General features: G+C 45.8%; 1 protein-coding gene and 1 long non-coding RNA gene across 9 annotated transcripts in view, besides 2 other annotated features; one reads left to right on the top strand and one right to left on the bottom strand.

The window, feature by feature from the left end:
• The window catches only part of ERICH1 (glutamate rich 1), a 116479-nt gene extending 101368 nt beyond the window's left edge, over positions 1–15111 (top strand). For 2 of the 8 annotated variants that reach the window (XM_047421403.1, XM_047421399.1), the window contains one exon: positions 14573–15111. In XM_047421403.1, the coding sequence (XP_047277359.1) occupies positions 14573–14634 (62 nt within the window). In that variant the 3' untranslated portion in view covers positions 14635–15111. Of the gene's footprint in view, positions 1–2618; positions 4183–13275 lie in introns of those variants that run through there. The other 6 variants (XR_007060714.1, XR_007060710.1, XR_007060715.1 and 3 more) reach the window with 6 other exon arrangements.
• Positions 271–814: an enhancer, noted in NCBI's record as "H3K27ac-H3K4me1 hESC enhancer chr8:579043-579586 (GRCh37/hg19 assembly coordinates)". NCBI's record gives its function as "activates a minimal SCP1, AML or CMV promoter by ChIP-STARR-seq in naive H9 embryonic stem cells {active_cell/tissue: H9 hESC(naive)}" and the evidence as "EXISTENCE:reporter gene assay evidence [ECO:0000049][PMID:30033119]".
• On the bottom strand, positions 11112–13430 carry LOC124902055 (uncharacterized). Its single transcript, XR_007061164.1, has 2 exons — positions 13375–13430; positions 11112–11274 (listed from the first exon to the last, which is right to left on the bottom strand). It is a non-coding gene; the product is annotated as an uncharacterized LOC124902055 (long non-coding RNA).
• Positions 15993–16545: an enhancer, noted in NCBI's record as "H3K27ac-H3K4me1 hESC enhancer chr8:563312-563864 (GRCh37/hg19 assembly coordinates)". NCBI's record gives its function as "activates a minimal SCP1, AML or CMV promoter by ChIP-STARR-seq in primed H9 embryonic stem cells {active_cell/tissue: H9 hESC(primed)}" and the evidence as "EXISTENCE:reporter gene assay evidence [ECO:0000049][PMID:30033119]".

Genomic DNA, 16922 nt, shown 5'->3' with positions numbered 1-16922 from the left:
GGTGGTCACGGGAGGGTGTGTGTCAGCTTTGTCTGTGTGGGTGCTCACAGGAGGGTGTGAGTCAGCTCTGTCCGTGTGGGTGCTCACAGGAGGGTGTGAGTCAGCTCTGTGTGGGTTGTCACGGGAGGGTGTGAGTCAGCTCTGTCTGTGTGGGTGGTCACAGGAGGGTGTGAGTCAGCTCTGTCTCTGTGGGTGGTCACAGGCGGGTGTGAGTCAGCTCTGTCTCTGGGGTGGTCACAGGCGGGTGTGAGTCAGCTCTGTCTCTGTGGGTGGTCACCGGCGGGTGTGAGTCAGCTCTGTCCGTGTGGGTGCTCACAGGAGGGTGTGTGTCAGCTCTGTCTCTGTGGGTGGTCACAGTAGCGTGTGAGTCAGCTCTGTCTGTGTGGGTGGTCACGGGAGCGTGTGAGTCAGCTCTGTCTGTGTGGGTGCTCACAGGAGGGTGTGAGTCAGCTCTGTGTGTGTGGGTGGTCACAGGAGAGTGTGAGTCAGCTCTGTGTGTGTGGGTGGTCACAGGAGGGTGTGAGTCAGCTCTGTCTCTGTGGGTGGTCACGGGAGGGTGTGAGTCAGCTGTACGTCATGTAGTTGGTCATCTGTGTGTTCCACCTGCATCCTGGGGTAGCCTGTTGGCCATTTTTGTTGCCACTATAAAGCCCTGAGTGTGGCTAGGAAGGGGGTGCTGGGTGGGACCGTATGATCACGTGTGCTCAGTTTGGCATGTGTGATCGTCATGTGACTGGGCTCACAGAAAGGAGCTTGTCCCTAATGATTTCCAACCTTCGGACTGTGTCCTGACCTGGCCTGTAGTCCTGCTGTCTGGGTTTGCATGGCCCCGAGAGCCCTTCTGAACAAAGGATGCTGATGGATTCAAGCCAGCTTGGTGGGTGCCGGGCCCTCCCTCCCACCTCCTTTAGTCTTTATGTTGACCTTGAGCTGGGGTGGTCCTGGGACCCCGAGGTTCGTGAGCGGAAGGGCTTGCAGGAGGGCACACAGCAGGGGAGCTGGGAGAGGGGGCTTGTTTGCCTCAGCATTGGGGGAGCCGAGGAAACGTTCATGAAAGCTTCTGAAAGGGAAGCAGGAAGGATTTTCACCCCAGGGCTGCAGCTTCAGGGACTACGTGAGGGTATGGGTGGGGATGAGGGGAAGGCCCACAGGGTGTTATTCCCATCTCATCGTCCTCCTCTGGCTTTGCTTTGTGTTGCGAACCCGCATCCTGAGGCTGACTTCAGAATGTTAAGAAAGGCAGCCCTGAGCCTTTGATCACCCCAGGAGTTCCAGAAGGCACCAGGGAGTCCTCTCGGGTCCCATGCCCCTCCCAGCCCCTTGGGGTCACCCTGATCGGCCTGGCCAAGGTCGCCAGCTGCCTGGGGACTGGGGAGCAGCCACATGCCCTCTGCAGGGGAGTAGTTGCCAGGAAGGTGCAGGCGGAGGCCCTGCTCTCCATCACAGCGGTCCTGTTTATGAGATCGTCACTCTCAAGAGGCCAAAAGTTATGACCAAACTTCAAGAGAAACTCCCAGTAAAGTAGTATTTCCACAGCAGACAGTTGGGATGCAGGTCCACCCACAGCCAGCTCTGAGCTGACACAGGGGCCCTGGCCAGGGTTCCACCCTGCTCTGCCTGCCTGGGGCCCTGGCTAGCCTGCAGATAACATCAAGTAGTTTCGTAATTTCCACACACAGCACTTCCAGAGCCTCATAATCAACCATCTATAAAGTCTCAAGAAGCCATGTTGCTTCCTCATGGCACCTGCTTTCCTTCCTCTGTGGTCTCGGGCAGGGTCAGAGAGAGGGCCATTTAGTTGAGAATGGAAGGGAGGGGCCGCTGGCTTCTCACTCCTCAGGAAGGCGCCCCTGCTGCTGCCCCTTGAGCTGGGAGTGTCCGGCACTGTGGTCTCAGCACGTTCCAGGCCCCCCCGGCCCCTGTGTTCTCTGCTGGGCCTCCCCTTCCCGAGGGGACTAGGGGAGGCAGCTGGGATCTGCCCAGAGCTTGGTCCTCACCCTCCTGTTCCTGGGCTCCCCAGCCTGTCAGACCCTTGCTGGCTCTTTGCTATGACCACACAGTTGGATGGAGGCTTCTCCAAGGAAAAGGCAGAGACCAGGGGCCAGCAACTCCCCTGCGGCTGAACATGGAACTCTCAGGCCAAGAGGAGCCCTGGGGTGAGCAACAGCCCTGTGGCCTTGCTTTCGGGTTCAGGTGGTGCAGGGAGGCACCCCGGACCTCCGTGAAGGCCAGTGAAATGGACAGGACAAGGTGCTTGGCCTGCGGCTGGAGAGCCATCTTCTTACCCCCTGGCCACATGGTTCTGGGAAGGCACTGACGCTTTGTAAAACTTGCCTGGTGTGGAAAATGATGGCGGTCATATGTAGTACCTTAGAAGGCTGTGCTGGGAGTTAACGATATAACATAGCGCAAATGCCTGACCCCTGGGAGAGGGGCAGTGAGAGTTTGTTGAAGTTGGCATGTGAAGTCGAGGCTCTCAGTGAGGTGCAGACTTTTCCTGTCCAGGAATGGGAGACAAGGAGCTGTCATTCACTCAAGCCCTTCGTCTGCCAGCCCCTGGCCTGTTATACACCCCTTTTCAATCCTGTAAGGTAAGTGTTCTTATCTCCAACTTCCAGGTGGGAAGTCTGAAGCTCAGAGAGCCTGGGCCAATGGTACAGGTCACACAGCACATCAGTGGCTACATGTGAGCTCAGACCTGGGTCTGCTGCTGTCTGTCTTCCCAATATCCATGACCTTGACTGATGCAGGTGTCTAGGGATACGTCCATCCCCGTCCTGCTGGAGCCCAGAGCACGGAAGCCTGGCCCTCCGAGGAGACAGAAGGGAGTGTCGGACACCATGACGAGAGCTTGGTGAGTACCAGGCCAAGCTGTGCTTTCCTCCTCCACGGCACAGCTCGGGTTGGGGTTCCAGAGGGTCCCAGCTGGCCCTGGAAGGTACCTTACTCTAGGCAAGAATGAACAGGTTCCAACCGCCAGCATTTCCTTAGCTCTCCCTGGACAGCCTCCGAGATTAAGAGACCAAAAACTCCATGATGTGATATAAATCAGCAAATATAAAAAACAAAATCTTCACTCTGCAACTGAGAGACAGGACAGGAGTCCAGGGGCTCAGGATGAGGATGGCATCGCGATGAGAGACAGACGCCAGCTGGAACACCCTCTAGGCAGGCCACCCTCTGGGCAGGCCGTCAGCCACAGTTCCATGTTTAGGAGGACCTTGACAAGGTCATTCATAATAAAATTATTCCCCGGCAGAGCATCACTTCTCGGAGGGAACTGTGTCTCTGAACTGTGTTCAGTTTTTGTCCCGGGGAGCTCTGTCTGGTGCTCACCTTTGTACCTGCAGCAGGTGCACTGGGCACCATGTTATTAGTGTCTCAGAGCTGAGTTCATGTGCATTTCTTCACCTAAGAACCCACTCACAATGACCCCACCCCAGCTCCTGCAGACCCGGCAGAGGCTAGGACGTGGCTCAGGAGACAAGTAGGGTCTTTAGAGAAGCCCCCCGGTCACTCCCTTTCAAGCCATAAGTTCCCAGGTCCTCAATAGTTGGCTCTGAGTAGAATTGTCAGAGAATGGGATTTTCTTAACCATCACAATTTCCAAGTAGACTCAGGCCTAACTCCCAGCAATTTGTATGTCAGACTCTACAGACAATTCTGTGCTGTCTATTTTTGCTCATCTTTAAAACAGCCACGAAATATGCAGCTTCCTTTCCCTGAGAAAATGGCAAAGAAAATTCAACACAGAAGGCCAGGGAGGGTGTGTGGAAACGATTCACATGTTCAAAAGATTTATATGTGTAGAAGAAAGCTGTGAAGTGTGAAGTATATTTTCTATTGTAGAATGGATGAAAATGGAATAAAAATAATATCCTTTGCTAGGCAGAATAAATAACTTCTTTAAACAATTTTACGGCATGAAGAAATCTGGACCAGTTTATTAAATGGGATTTCTGCCACAAACCTTGGAAGAATCACATCATCTTAGCCCAAGGTGAAAACTGTGTTGCGTAACAAAGAACATGACTGCGCTCCACACATACATCATTGCCCGGCGAGGCGGGACACAAGTCAACGACGGAACACTTGAGACAGGCCTACAACTGTGCACGGTTCAGAAGCAGGTTTAAGCCATACTTGCTGCAGTGAGACTACATTTCTGTCTAAAGAAGATGTGTGAGTTCCGTCCTTTGTTATTATTTTTAATGTCTTAAGATATAATTTGCTTACCGTAAAATTCACTTATTTAAAGTGTGTAATTCAACAGCTTTTAGTATATTCAGAGTTGTACAATCCTCACTACGATGAATGTGAGAACACTTGTATTACCCCCAAGACACCCCGTGCTCTTTAGACCTCACCATGCACCCAGACCCCGTACCCTCAGCCCCAGCAACCCCTAATCTTCTTCCTGTCTCTGTAGATTTGTCCACTTCTGTGGACGTGTCCTGTAGACAGGCACGACACTACCTGGCCTCCTTTGTCCGGCTTCTTTAACTCAGCGTCGTGGTTTCAGGGTTTATTCCTGCTGCAGCATAAACCACTGCTTTCCTTTTTGTGGCTACTATTCCATTGTTTGAGTAGATCATGCTTTATTTATCTATTCATCGGATAGGAAGCATTTGGGTTGTTTCTGCTTTTGGGTGATTGTGAATGACTCTGATATGGTTCGGATTCGTGTCCCCACCCAAATCTCATGTAGAATTGTAATCTCCGATGTTGGAGGAGGGAGCTGGTGGGAGTGATTGGATCATGGGCGTGGAATCCACCTCGCTGTTCTTGTGGCAGTGAGTTCTCAGGAAGCCTGAGTGTTTAAAAGTGTGTAGGCCGGGTGCAGTGGCTCACGCCTGTAATCCCAGGACTTTGGGTGGCCGAGGCAAGCGGATCACGAGGTCAGGAGATCAAGACCATCCTGGCTAACACGGTGAAACCCCGTCTCTACTAAAAATACAAAAAATTAGCCAGGCATGGTGGCGGGCACCTGTAGTCCCAGCTACTCTGGAGGCTGAGGCAGGAGAATGGCGTGAACCCGGGAGGCAGAGCTTGCAGTGAGCCGAGATCGTGCCACTGCAGTCCGGCCTGGGTGACAGAGCGAGACTGTCTCAAACAAAATAAAAATAAAAATAAAAATAAAAAATATAAAAAAAAAAGTGTGTAGCGCCTCCCCCTTTACTCTCTTCCTCCTGCTCCAGCCATGCAAGACGTGCCTGCTTCCCCTTTACCTTCTGCCAGGATTGTGACTTTCCTGAGACCTCCCCAGCCATGCTTCCTGTACAGCCTGCAGAACTGTGAGCCAATTGAACATCTTTTCTTTAGAAATTACCCAGTCTTAGGTAGTTCTTTATAGCAGTTCAAGAAAGGACTGATACAGACTGTGCTGTGAGCAATCACGTACAAGCTTTGGCGTGAATGTGTTTTTGTTTCTCTTGGGTCTGTGCCTAGGAGTAGAACTGCAGGTTCGTGTGGTGACTCTGTGTTCACCTTTTTGGGAAATTGCTGGACTGTGTTCCACATGGTTGCACCATCTCACATCCTTATCAGGAAAGTATGCATTTCCTTGGTTCCTCATCTCAGTGGTTCCGATATCTTCACATCCTCTCCAATCTTTACATCATCTATCTTTCTCATCTAGCCATCCTCACAGGTTTGAGCTGATGTCTCATTGTGGTTTCGATTTGCATTTTCTTGGTGGATAATGAAGTTGAACATCTTTGCGTGCGCTCATTGGCCATTTGCATGACTTCTTTAAAACCATGTCTATTCAAATCCTTCACTAATCTGCAGTTGGGTTTTTTATTATTGAGTTGTAAAAGTTATTTATTTATTTTGGATATTAGTCCCTCGTTAGATTAGATATATGATTTGCAAATATTTTCTCCCATTCTGTATGTTGTCTTCTTTATTAGTGGTATCATTTGCAACAAAAAAGTTTTAATTTTAATGTAGCCAATTTATCTACTTTTTTCTTCCATTACTAGTGCTTTTGGTTCATATCTAAGAGACCATGGTCTGATCCAAGGTCATGAAGACTTATACCTGTGTTTTCTTCAGACAGTTTTATAGTTTCAGTTATGACACTAAGGTCTGTGGTCCATTTTGAGTTAGTCTTTGTGTTAGTGTAGTGCAAGAAAGGGGTTCAACTTCATGTTTTTGCATGAAGTCCACTTGTTCCAGCATCATTTATTTAAATGACTGTTCTTCATGCACACAAAATGGTAATTCTGTGAGGTGATAGATGTGCTGATTAGCTTTATTGTGGTAATTATTTCACAATCTACACATATATGAAAACATCCTATTGTATAACCTAAATATATACAATTTTTATCATTGATACCTCAATAAACCTGGAAAAAACAAAAATTTTTAAATTAAAAAATAGAAGACTATTCTTTCCCTTTTGAGTTGTTATAGTATTCTTGTTGAAAATCAATTGACCATAAACATAAGCATCAGGCTGAGGAGGTTTCCTTCGATTTCTAGTTTGTTGAGCATCCTTTTATTATGAAAGGGTGTTGAGTTTCCTCAAATTTCTTTCCTGCGTCTATTGGGAAGCCACATGGTTTTTGTACTTTATTCATATGGTGTCTATTACATTGATTGTTGCCAAACCACCCTTGAATTCCTAGGATAAATTCCATTTACTCATGGTGTGTAATTCCATTTATGCATTGTTTTAAGTTGTTTGCTAGTGTTTGTGTCTATATTCATAAGGAATATTAGTCTGTAGTTTTCTTTTGATATCTTTGCCTGTTTTATCTCTCGTCATACTGTTCTATAAAATGAGTTGGGAAGTGTTAAACCCTCTTCTGTTTTTTTGGTAGGATTGGTATTGACAGTATTGGTATTGATTAGTATTGATGTTTTATTTATTTATTTATTTATTTATTTATTGAGAGCGGATCTCCTCTGTTGCCCAGGTTGGAGTACAGTGGTACAATCATGGCTCACTGCAGCCTTGAATTCCTGGGCTCAAGCAATCCTTCCACCTCAGCATCCTGAGCTGCTGGGACCACAGGTGTGCACCACTACACCTGGCTATTTTTTAAAAAAATTTTTTTATAGAGACACGGTCTCACTATGTTGCCAAGGCTGGTCTGAAACTCCTGGGCTCAAGTGATCCTCCCACCTCAGCCTCCCAAAGTTCTGGGATTACAGGTGTGAGCCACTGTGCCCTGCCTTTTTAAATGTCTGATAGAATTTGCTAGTGAAGCTGTCTGGCTTGGGTTTTCAAGGGTAGTCTGTTTGGACTGTGATATCAAAATACCTCAGACTGGGTGCTTTATAAACAGCAGAATTTATTGGTCACAGTTCTGGAGGCTGGACAGTCCAAGATCACGTCACCACCAGATTTAGTATCTAGAAAAGCTTCGTTCTCTGCTTCATAGATATGGTGTCTTCTCACTGCATCCTCAACGTAGCAGAAGGGAAGGCAGTTCTTGGGGGCCTCTTTTATAAAAGCATTAATCCTATTCATTTTCACAGGGCCCTCATGACCTAGTCACTCTCCAAAGGCCCCACCTCCTAATAACATCACCTTTTGCTGATTGAGTTTCAACATATAAATGGGGGGTGGATACAAACATTCAGACCATAGCAAGGAATTTATTTATTTATTTTTATTTTTCTGAGACAGAATCTTGCTCTGTCACCCAGGATGGAGTACAGTGGCACAATCTTAGGCCACTGTAATCTCAAACTCCTGGGATCAAATAGTCCTCCTGCCACAGTCTCCCAAGTAGCTAAGACTACAGGTGCACATGCCACCACGCTTGGTTAATTTTTTTCATTTTTATTTTCTGTAGAGGTGTTGTCACTGTGTTGTCCAGGCTGGTCTCAAACTACTGGCCTCAAGGGATCGTCATGCCTTGGCCTCCCAACGTGCTGGGATTACAGGCATGAGCCACCACACTCAGCCACAAGGAAGTTTTAACATTATTTAATCTCTAATTGTTTTAGATATATTTCCTTTTGAGTTGGTTTGGGTAGTTTATGTTTTTCTAGGAATTGTATTTAACTTTGTTGGCTCATAATTGTTGATATTATTCACTTATAATCCTTTTTTACTTTTATAAGGTCATTATTTTATAAGATGTCCTCCCTTCCATTTCTAACTTTGGTAATTTAGTCCCTCTCTTTCTTTCGTAGTCTTTCTAAAGGATTGTCGTTTTGTCAGTCTTTTCAAAGAACTAACCATTGGTCTTGTTGATTTCTCTATTGTTTTTCTATTCTCTGTGTCAGTTATTTCTGCTCTAATCTTGATTATTTCCTTTCTTCTGCTGGTTTTTAGTTTGCTCTTCTCTATCTCCTTTCTCTTTTTAATTATTTAATTATTTTAATTATTTAAAAAATTTTTATTAACATATAGTTGACAAAAATTACATATATTTACTGTGTGATGTTTGATACATGTATACCTTGTTAAATGGTTATATCAAGCTAATTAACATATCCATCACATCACACACTTATCTTTTGTTGTGAGAAATTTTTCTAGTGTCTTAAGGTAGAAAGGTTATTGATTTGAGAGTGTCTTTTTTAATATAAGCATGTATAGCTATAACTTTTCCTCTGGGCACTGCTTTAGCTGCAGTCTATAAATATTGGCATGATGTGCTTTTATTTTCATCCTTCTCAAGTTTTTTTCTAATTTCCCTTGTAATTTCTTCTTTCATCCATTAGTTATTTAGGAGTGTATTGTTTAATTTTCACATATTTGTGAATTTCCCAAGTTTCTTCCTATTACTGATTTTTAATTTAAGTCTATTGTGCTCAGACAATATACTTTATGATTTCAATCCTATTTAAAGGTATTCGAGTTTATTTTATGGTGTATGCACCATATTGTCAGTCGTGGAGAACGTTTTATGTGTACTTGAGAATATGTATTCTGCTGTTTTTGGTGAAGTGTTCTGTAGATGCTGGTTAAATCTAAGTTTATTTAAGTTTTTATTTCTGTGTGGATCTTCTGCCTATTCATTCTATAAATAATTAAAAGTGGGGTATTGAAGTCTGTAAAAACCATTGTTAAATTGTCTACTTCTCCCTTCAATTTCACCAGTTTGCTTTATATATTTTGGGGTGCCACTGTTAGGTGCATATGGGTTTATAATTGTTATGTTAACATTTATCATTACAAAGTGTTTGTCTTTAGTAACATTTTCTGTTTTAAAGTCTGTTTTTTCTGATGTTAGTATAGCCTATCCAGCTCTGTCATGGTTGCTGTTTGCATGACGTATGTTTTTCTGTTCTTTAACTTTCAACTCATTTGTATTTTTAAAAGCTGCACTGGATTTTCTACAGAATATGAATACTTTTTCTATAGGAGGTCAGTGTACATTGCAGATACTATACAGACACACACAGAGACACACACTTGATAAGCAGGTTTCTGGTTTCCCTTTATTCAGTCTGATGATCTCTGCCTTTTGATTGACTTGTTCAATTGATTCACATTTAAATATTATTTTTATTGATTATTAGGTTTATATCTAACATTATGCTTTTTGTTTTCTTTTTTATTGATTTATTTATTTTTTGAGACAGAGTCTCACTCTGTTGCCCAGGCTGGAGTGCAGTGGCACAATCTCGGCTCACTACAACCTCCGCCTCCTGGATTCAAGTGATTCTCCTGCCTCAGCCTCCTGAGTAGCTGGGATTACAGGTGTGCGCCACCACGCCTGGCTAATTTTTGTATTTTTAGTAGAGACGAGGTTTCACCATGTTGATCAGGCTGGTTTCGAACTCCTGACCTCGTGATCCACCCACCTTGGCCTCCCAAAGTGCTGGGATTACAGGTGTGAGCCACCACGCCTGGCCCACTTTTTGTTTTGTATATGTCCTTATTATTCCTCCATTTTCTTTTATTGCTTTTTCATATTAAGTGGCTATTTTATAATGTAATATTTTTTATTCCTTAAATGACATTTTTACTGTATTGTTTATTTTCTTAGTGGTTGCTCTGGAGCTTACAATGTACATCTTAACATCAAATTTTATTTTAGATTTATACTAGCCTAATACCAGTGAAATACAGAAACATACTCCTGTGGAATGAGTTCAATTCCATAGACTTCATACAACATAGTTTCATTCCATAGACTTCTTTTTTGTGCTGTTGTTTAATATATTGTCCCTGTATATGTTACAAACCCAACAATATATTGTTATAATTACTACTGTATATAATCTTAAGTCTTTTAAGGAAGTTGAGAGAAGAAAGGAGAGCAAGTATATGTTTATAAAGTTTGTTATATTAATCTCCTTATTTACCATTTCTGATTCTCTTTTCTTCCCCCGGTGGATACTGGTTACTATCTGATGTCATTGCTTTCTCTCCAGTACAGCTTTGTTCCACCTGGCTTCTTTGTGCTGCTATTTTCAAATGTATTACGTTTCTATATGTTATAATACAAATAATGTAATTATATACATATTCTTTTATGTAAGCATTTTAAAAATAAGTTGAGAAGAAAGAAGAAATATGTTATACTGTCTTTTACAATTATCTACAGAATCCCCTTGTGTGAGATAGGTCTCACCGGGCCCCCCTCGTGCGCGGTGGGTCTCACCGGGGCCTCCTTGTGCGCGATGGGTCACGTGCCCTTTCTGTTCTCAAGGCTTTCTCTTTATTTGGCTTTCAACATTTTAACACGGGGCTGGGAGGTGGGCAACACAGGTGGCCAGAGCCCCAGACTGGGCACTGGGGGAGTAGGGCCCCCATTTTCTTTTCCACATCTGTAGAGAGCAGAGCTTCCATTTTCTCGATGGGCTTGGAGGGAGGGCTGAGGCTGAAATGCCACAGACTCTCACTGTTGTTACTAAGATTTACTGGATTTTCCTGAATAAATAGTTTTTCATTCTGCGTATGCCCTTAGGATAATTTCAGAGACTTTAAATGATGTTTAAAACCATTTTCTCCGGTTAAATGATTGTCTTCTGGGAGGAGTCCACCACTCCCAAGACGGCAGCTGTGTCCTCTACCTTTGAAATTTCCACCACTGATCTCCAACTCGGTCAGGCGTTTGGGGGACCTTGTCTCAAGTGGCGCTCTCAGTCTGCGTACTCTTGCATTAAGATTACACATAGCAGGGTAGTCCACGACACCAGGTTTAAGCACAATTTTAATAGTTAGTATCCATTGCGTGCTGTTCCAAGCGTGCTGTGTGTGATAACGCAGTTAGTCTCAACCACAGCCTGGAAAGAGGTTTCAGTCACACCCATTTCACAGCTGAGGCCTGAAGGATTTGGTAATGTTGCCCAAGGTCTCTGAAAGACAGTGGGGTGGGAGGGGGAGGCTCTGTCAGTCACTCACTCAGTTAGCATGTACCCACTGAGCTTATGCCATGCACTGCTCCGGGCAGTGAGGACAAACCAAGCACCAAGCACTTACAGGGCAGTGAGGACAGACCAAGCACCGAGTACTGAGCACTCAGAGGGCAGTGATGGTGGACCAAGCACCAAGCACTCAGAGGGCAGTGAGGACAGACCAAGTACGAGCACTCAAAAGGCACTGAGGACAGATGGAACACAGAGTACTGAGCACTCAGAGGGTGGTGAGGATGGACCAAACACCAAGCACTCAGAGGGTAGTGAGGATGGACCAAGTACCGAGCACTCAGAGGGCAGTGAGATGGACCAAGTACCTAGCACTCAGAGGGCAGTGAGAACAGATGGAGTACTCAGTACTGAGCACTCAGAGGGCAGTGAGGACAGATGGAACACTGAGTAGTGAGCACGCATAGGGCAGTGAGGATGGACTGAGCACCAATCACTCAGAGGACAGTGAGGACAGACTGAGCATTGAGCACTCATATGGCAGTGAGGATGGACCAAGCACCAAGTACTGACCACTTAGAGGGCAGTGAGGATAGACTGAGCACCCAGCACTCAGAGGGCAGTGAGAATGGACCAAGTACCGAGCACTCAGAGGGCAGTGAGATGGACCAAGTACCGAGCACTCAGAGGGCAGTGAGAACAGATGGAGCACTCAGTACTGAGCACTCAGAGGGCAGTGAGGACAGATGGAACACTGAGTAGTGAACACTCATAGGGCAGTGAGGATGGACTGAGCACCAATCACGCAGAGGACAGTGAGGACAGACTGAGCACTGAGCACTCATAGGGCAGTAAGGATGGACCAAGCACCAAGTACTGACCACTTAGAGGGCAGTGAGGATAGACCGAGCACCCAGCACTCAGCAGTGAGGATGGACCAAGTACCATGCACTCAGAGGGCAGTGAGAACAGATGGAGCACCAAGCACTCAGAGGGCAGTGAGAAAAGACTGAGTACCAAGTACTGAGCACTCAGAGGGCAGTGAGGATGGACCAAGCACCAAGCCCTCAGCATTCAGAGGGAAGTGAGGATAGACCGAGCACCAAGCACTCAGCACTCCCCAGTGGGGTCAGATGAGGACCAAATGGATAAACACGCAGGTAGTAGATGACAGGGAGTGATCAGTGCTGAGAACGGTGAGGCAGGCATGGAGCCATGAGCAAAGGGGATACTCTGGACATGGTGGGGGAAGCCCTCTGAGGAGGCATCCTCTGAGCTGCCCTGAACCACCAGGAACATTCTGACTTAGAACACGCTCCCAGCAATCGGAGTACTTCCCACTTTTTACGGAAGCCCTTCATGAAGGCGTCAGTGCCTCTTGGAATCGTGTGGTCCCCACCGCCTGTGCCCTGAGTGGACTCCTGCCTTCTTTCTTTCTCAGTTTCCTAGCCAGCTAAACTGGAATAATATGCACTGTCATACAGTCATGGGTGGGCTGGGACAAAGAGTCAAAGTGGGAACCGGAATTATTTCGTTGGTCCTGAATCGTTTTTCTTCCTTCTGGATATTTGCTCGCTTATATAACCAATGTCTCTCTCTCTCTCTCTCTGTGTGTCTCTGTCTCCCTCTCCCTCTCTCTCTCTGTCTCTTTCTGTCTCTCTCTCTCTCTCTGTGTGTGTGTGTGTCTCTGTCTCCCTCTCCCTCTCTCTCTCTGTCTCTTTCTGTCTCCCTCTCTCTTTCTCTCTCTCTCCCCCCGTCTCTTCCTCCCCCCTCTCTTCCCCATCTCTCTCCCTCTCCCTCTCTCTGTCTTCCTCTCCCTTTGTCCCTCTCTCTCCCGCTTCCCTATCTCTCTGAGTGTCTCTATCTCTCTCCCTGTCCCTCTCTGTCTTCCTCTCCCTCTGCCTCTGTCCCCCGCGCCCCCGTCTGTCTCTCCTTCTCTGTCTCTGCCTCCCTCTCCCCACTCACTCTTATTCTCTCTCTGTCTCTCTCCAGCCCTGACTTGATCTGTTTTTCAGCTCCAGTTCCCAGATGTGCGTGTTGTGGTCCCCAGGTATCAACTCCAAATTCCTGGGAGCAGTGCTCTGGCCGTACCTGTCTGGGTTTGTTGGCCAGCGCTGAATCCGCTTAGCCAGGAGAGCATGGGGTGTGCGGGGTTCGGTCAGCCTCACACACGTGGCAGGAGTTTCTCTCTGGACGGCGGCCGCCCACACCTGGCCGACAGGAGCCTGTCTTCAGCAACTTTCAGTTAACGCGTCCCTCTTGCCCCATGCTTGTCCTGCCACACAAATGTGAAAATGCAACGTTACAAAGATCTGTGCCTCAGACACCATTTGAACACAGAGAAACTCGTGGGCTTATGTGACTACACTTTTCAGGTTACGGAATTTCTTTAAGGTGTACCCTTGAGTTTAATATACTTATTAATAACTTATCATTACAGAGAAAAAATTACCAGAAGTACAGGGTGTTTTTAACGGACTTTCTTCTCTTGCACATTGCTGGGCATGGCGTGTACTGTGACAGGGCGGAGTGATGGGCTGAGAATGTGTGTGTGTCTCCAACAGTTCCCAAACGTCTACATTTTCAAGAAAAAGGCAATCTACATCATCTGGAAAATTGTAACTTAGTAATTAATTAGGATAATTTCCCTAGGTTCTCTGTGCTGCATGAGACCACAGCGTATTCATTAAAGAGGAAAGCTGAATATTGGCGGAAAACAGGGTTGTAAATTTGTAACAAGTTTTTCTATCAGAAAATGAAATGCAATTTTCTGTCCTCTCTGAGCTTTTACCACATAGCTCTTAGCAATGGGTGTTTTTTCTGTCATTCCACTCAATTCTCACTCGAGTAAACCTCCAAGCAATAAGAATGTTGTCTTTCCTGTTTAGACTAGACTGACTACCTTTCCAGGACAGTCCATTAAGTTGATTTCCAATGGTGAAGGGTCAGACACGCCTCCCCTGGGCAGATCAGGGATAGTTCATAGCATTTGCCAAATAGCTGTCTGCAGCTGCAGCCATCACCTCCGTAATCAACACTGCCATTGTCTGAGCCTTCCCTTTGCAGGAATGGTGTCAGTGCACCCAGGCCTCGTAGAGATGACAGCCACCCCAGGCACTATTGTGACCATTGCTTTGATCATTGTTCTGTTTATGACTGAGGAAAGCAGGGCTTAGGAAGACTAATCTTAGTTATCTCTTTATCCCAGCAATCGGCACACATCTGTGGATCAATAAACATTGTATTAAAATGATGAACACAACTGATCTCCCTTAACCTGATTTTCCAGGAGTCCTAAGCAGACTTAAAGCCAAGAAAATAAGAAGAGGAAAGAGAGAGGGGCTGCCTTAACCAGCTGTGGTGCTGACTTGGACAATTCCAGGTCAAGAGGAACTGTCTACTTTCGACTTTGTGTGATAGTAACTTTTTAAGCAGTGGACCGGGAGCCCAAGACTCAGATGCAGCAAGCTTTGCAAGGCTGACGAGAGCTGAGATCTTCAGTGGCCGATGGGTACAGGGCTGCTGGGAGCGTAGCCACGTCTGCTCCAAGGTGGCTTGAATGAGGCAGTGCCCAAGTCCTTTTGACTGGCTGAGGTGAGCCTGTGGCTCAGTCACAGTTTGTCCCTCTCCTAATAAGTGCATTTCCCAGACAGCAGCTCCTTGGTGTCATGCAACTGAGGAACCTAATTGGCTGGGTGGGTTGTTCCCATCCAACTTCCACCTGTCACGAAGGATGCTTTTTCAGATCAGTCTCCACAGCTACCATCTTGTCGGGCACAGAGCCGGGCATCAACAAGTGTATGTTGAATAAAGAATGAATTGATGAAATGAAGTGAATGGAAAACATTGATTCAACACTCCTTCATACTTATTATTTAGTCCTACGTGAAACACTAGAGGAAGAGAAATCCTAGTCTTTACCCATGAAGAGCTTAGAATTTGGAAGGGATCGTAGACACACACACACGACCATTAGCGATCCTGACACGGTCCCACCAGTAATCTGACAGATCTGTAATAATAAATACTGCATTGCATAGTCAGCACCTGTCTAGACAGTTGCCAAGGGGGTTATAACACTTGGAGTCAGATGAATCAAAAGTTCAAATGCTAACAAAATTCCAGAACTGAGAGAGGTTAAATATCTGTAAAAATGTGAAACTGTACCCAGTGGCCTTGGCTTAATGAAGTCGTATGTTGGTGTTCCTTTTGCATTTCTGAAAGGTCAGCCCCAAGTCTCAAAGCGGGAGAGTTCTCAAAGGGTCTGAAATAAGGTTCCTCAGACTCCACCCCTCGGTGGCTGGGAAGCTGTTTGTGGGGCAGTAGGCGATGGCTGGGACTGCAGACAGCTGACAGAGGAGGCATCAGATCATTACAGAGGAATGCGAAATCTGGCCTATGGGCTTTCCAGAGCAAACAGCCTGTCGTTTACCGGTGATTCACGTACAGAAATGCACGAATTCTCAGACAGTGGCTGAGACTCCCCGAAAGGTTGTCAGGGTTGTTTCTTCAAGGCTGTCCTTGTTGCAATCACTTTTCTGCAGTGCCAGTGCCTCCTGGGAATCCTGCTTGCGTCTTTGGGCAGATTCCAAAGGGAGGCGGCCCTTGCTACAGCTGCACCTGCCTCCTCCATCACCACCTGCCTCCTCCATCACCACCTGCCTGTCACCTGGGAGTCAGGCCCGCTGCCCTGGAGGTGGGGTCAAACCAGTGCCAAAGTCACCCAGGAGCCAGCCAGGGCCTGGGAGTTCTCCCTCATGACACGCCGGCAGCAGGTGAACATTCTAAGGCTGACACTTCTGGGCATTCGCTGAGATCTTGGGAAAGAACTAGCCCCCCGGCCCTGCTTTCACTTAGAGATGGGAACAACGATTGCCCTGAGTTCCTGGGAGCTACAGGAGAAATATGCGCCCTGAGTTCCTGGGAGTTACAGGAGAAATATGCACGGTGTGCTTGGCCTGTGGCACCAGAGCTTTAGGGCACTGGTCTTTCATCGCTGGCCATGAAACAGCAAGGCTTTGAAAGGAAGGTAGATGGAGTGTGCAAACCTTGTGGGAATCTTTGCTTCTTGGCAAAAGAATGAATAAGTGAATTTGGTCATGGAGAAAATTGCATGCTAGGGGCATGTTTGTAACTACCGTCTGTGTTTGTAGTAAAGCACTCGATAAGTATTTGCCAAAAGAATGACCAATAAATCAATACAGCTCTTAAATTTTTCAAGCCAATTTGACTTTATGCAACTTTTGAAGCTCTTTCACAGATAATGAAACAAAGGCACAAAGAAATTAAGTCATACAAGGGCCTTGGAGAGCTTATTGAGCAAATATTTTGTGTTTTATTTATCAGTTCTGACTAGGATTTTATAATTTACTCCTATAACTTCCATATATTTTCCTTTTCTAATGTATTTTCTAGATTGAGTCTCATGAATATTGAATTTTCATTTTGAAAAATTTGGATCTGTCTACACATATGAAATTCAACCCATTAGGCATTCTTATAATTTAAACAAATGTTCTTACATAAGAAGAGTAATACATTTAAGATATACCTTTGTCACAATTTCTGAACTCTACCTAATGAAAATTCTCTTTCATGTTTGGAATATTTTCCACTTCAAGTGCATTTTATCCACATAA

This window comes from Homo sapiens, chromosome 8, assembly GCF_000001405.40.
Source record: "Homo sapiens chromosome 8, GRCh38.p14 Primary Assembly".
Lineage (NCBI taxonomy): Eukaryota > Metazoa > Chordata > Mammalia > Primates > Hominidae > Homo > Homo sapiens.
The sequence above is the reverse complement of the archived record's forward strand: the minus strand, read 5'-3'. Positions and strand labels throughout refer to the sequence as shown.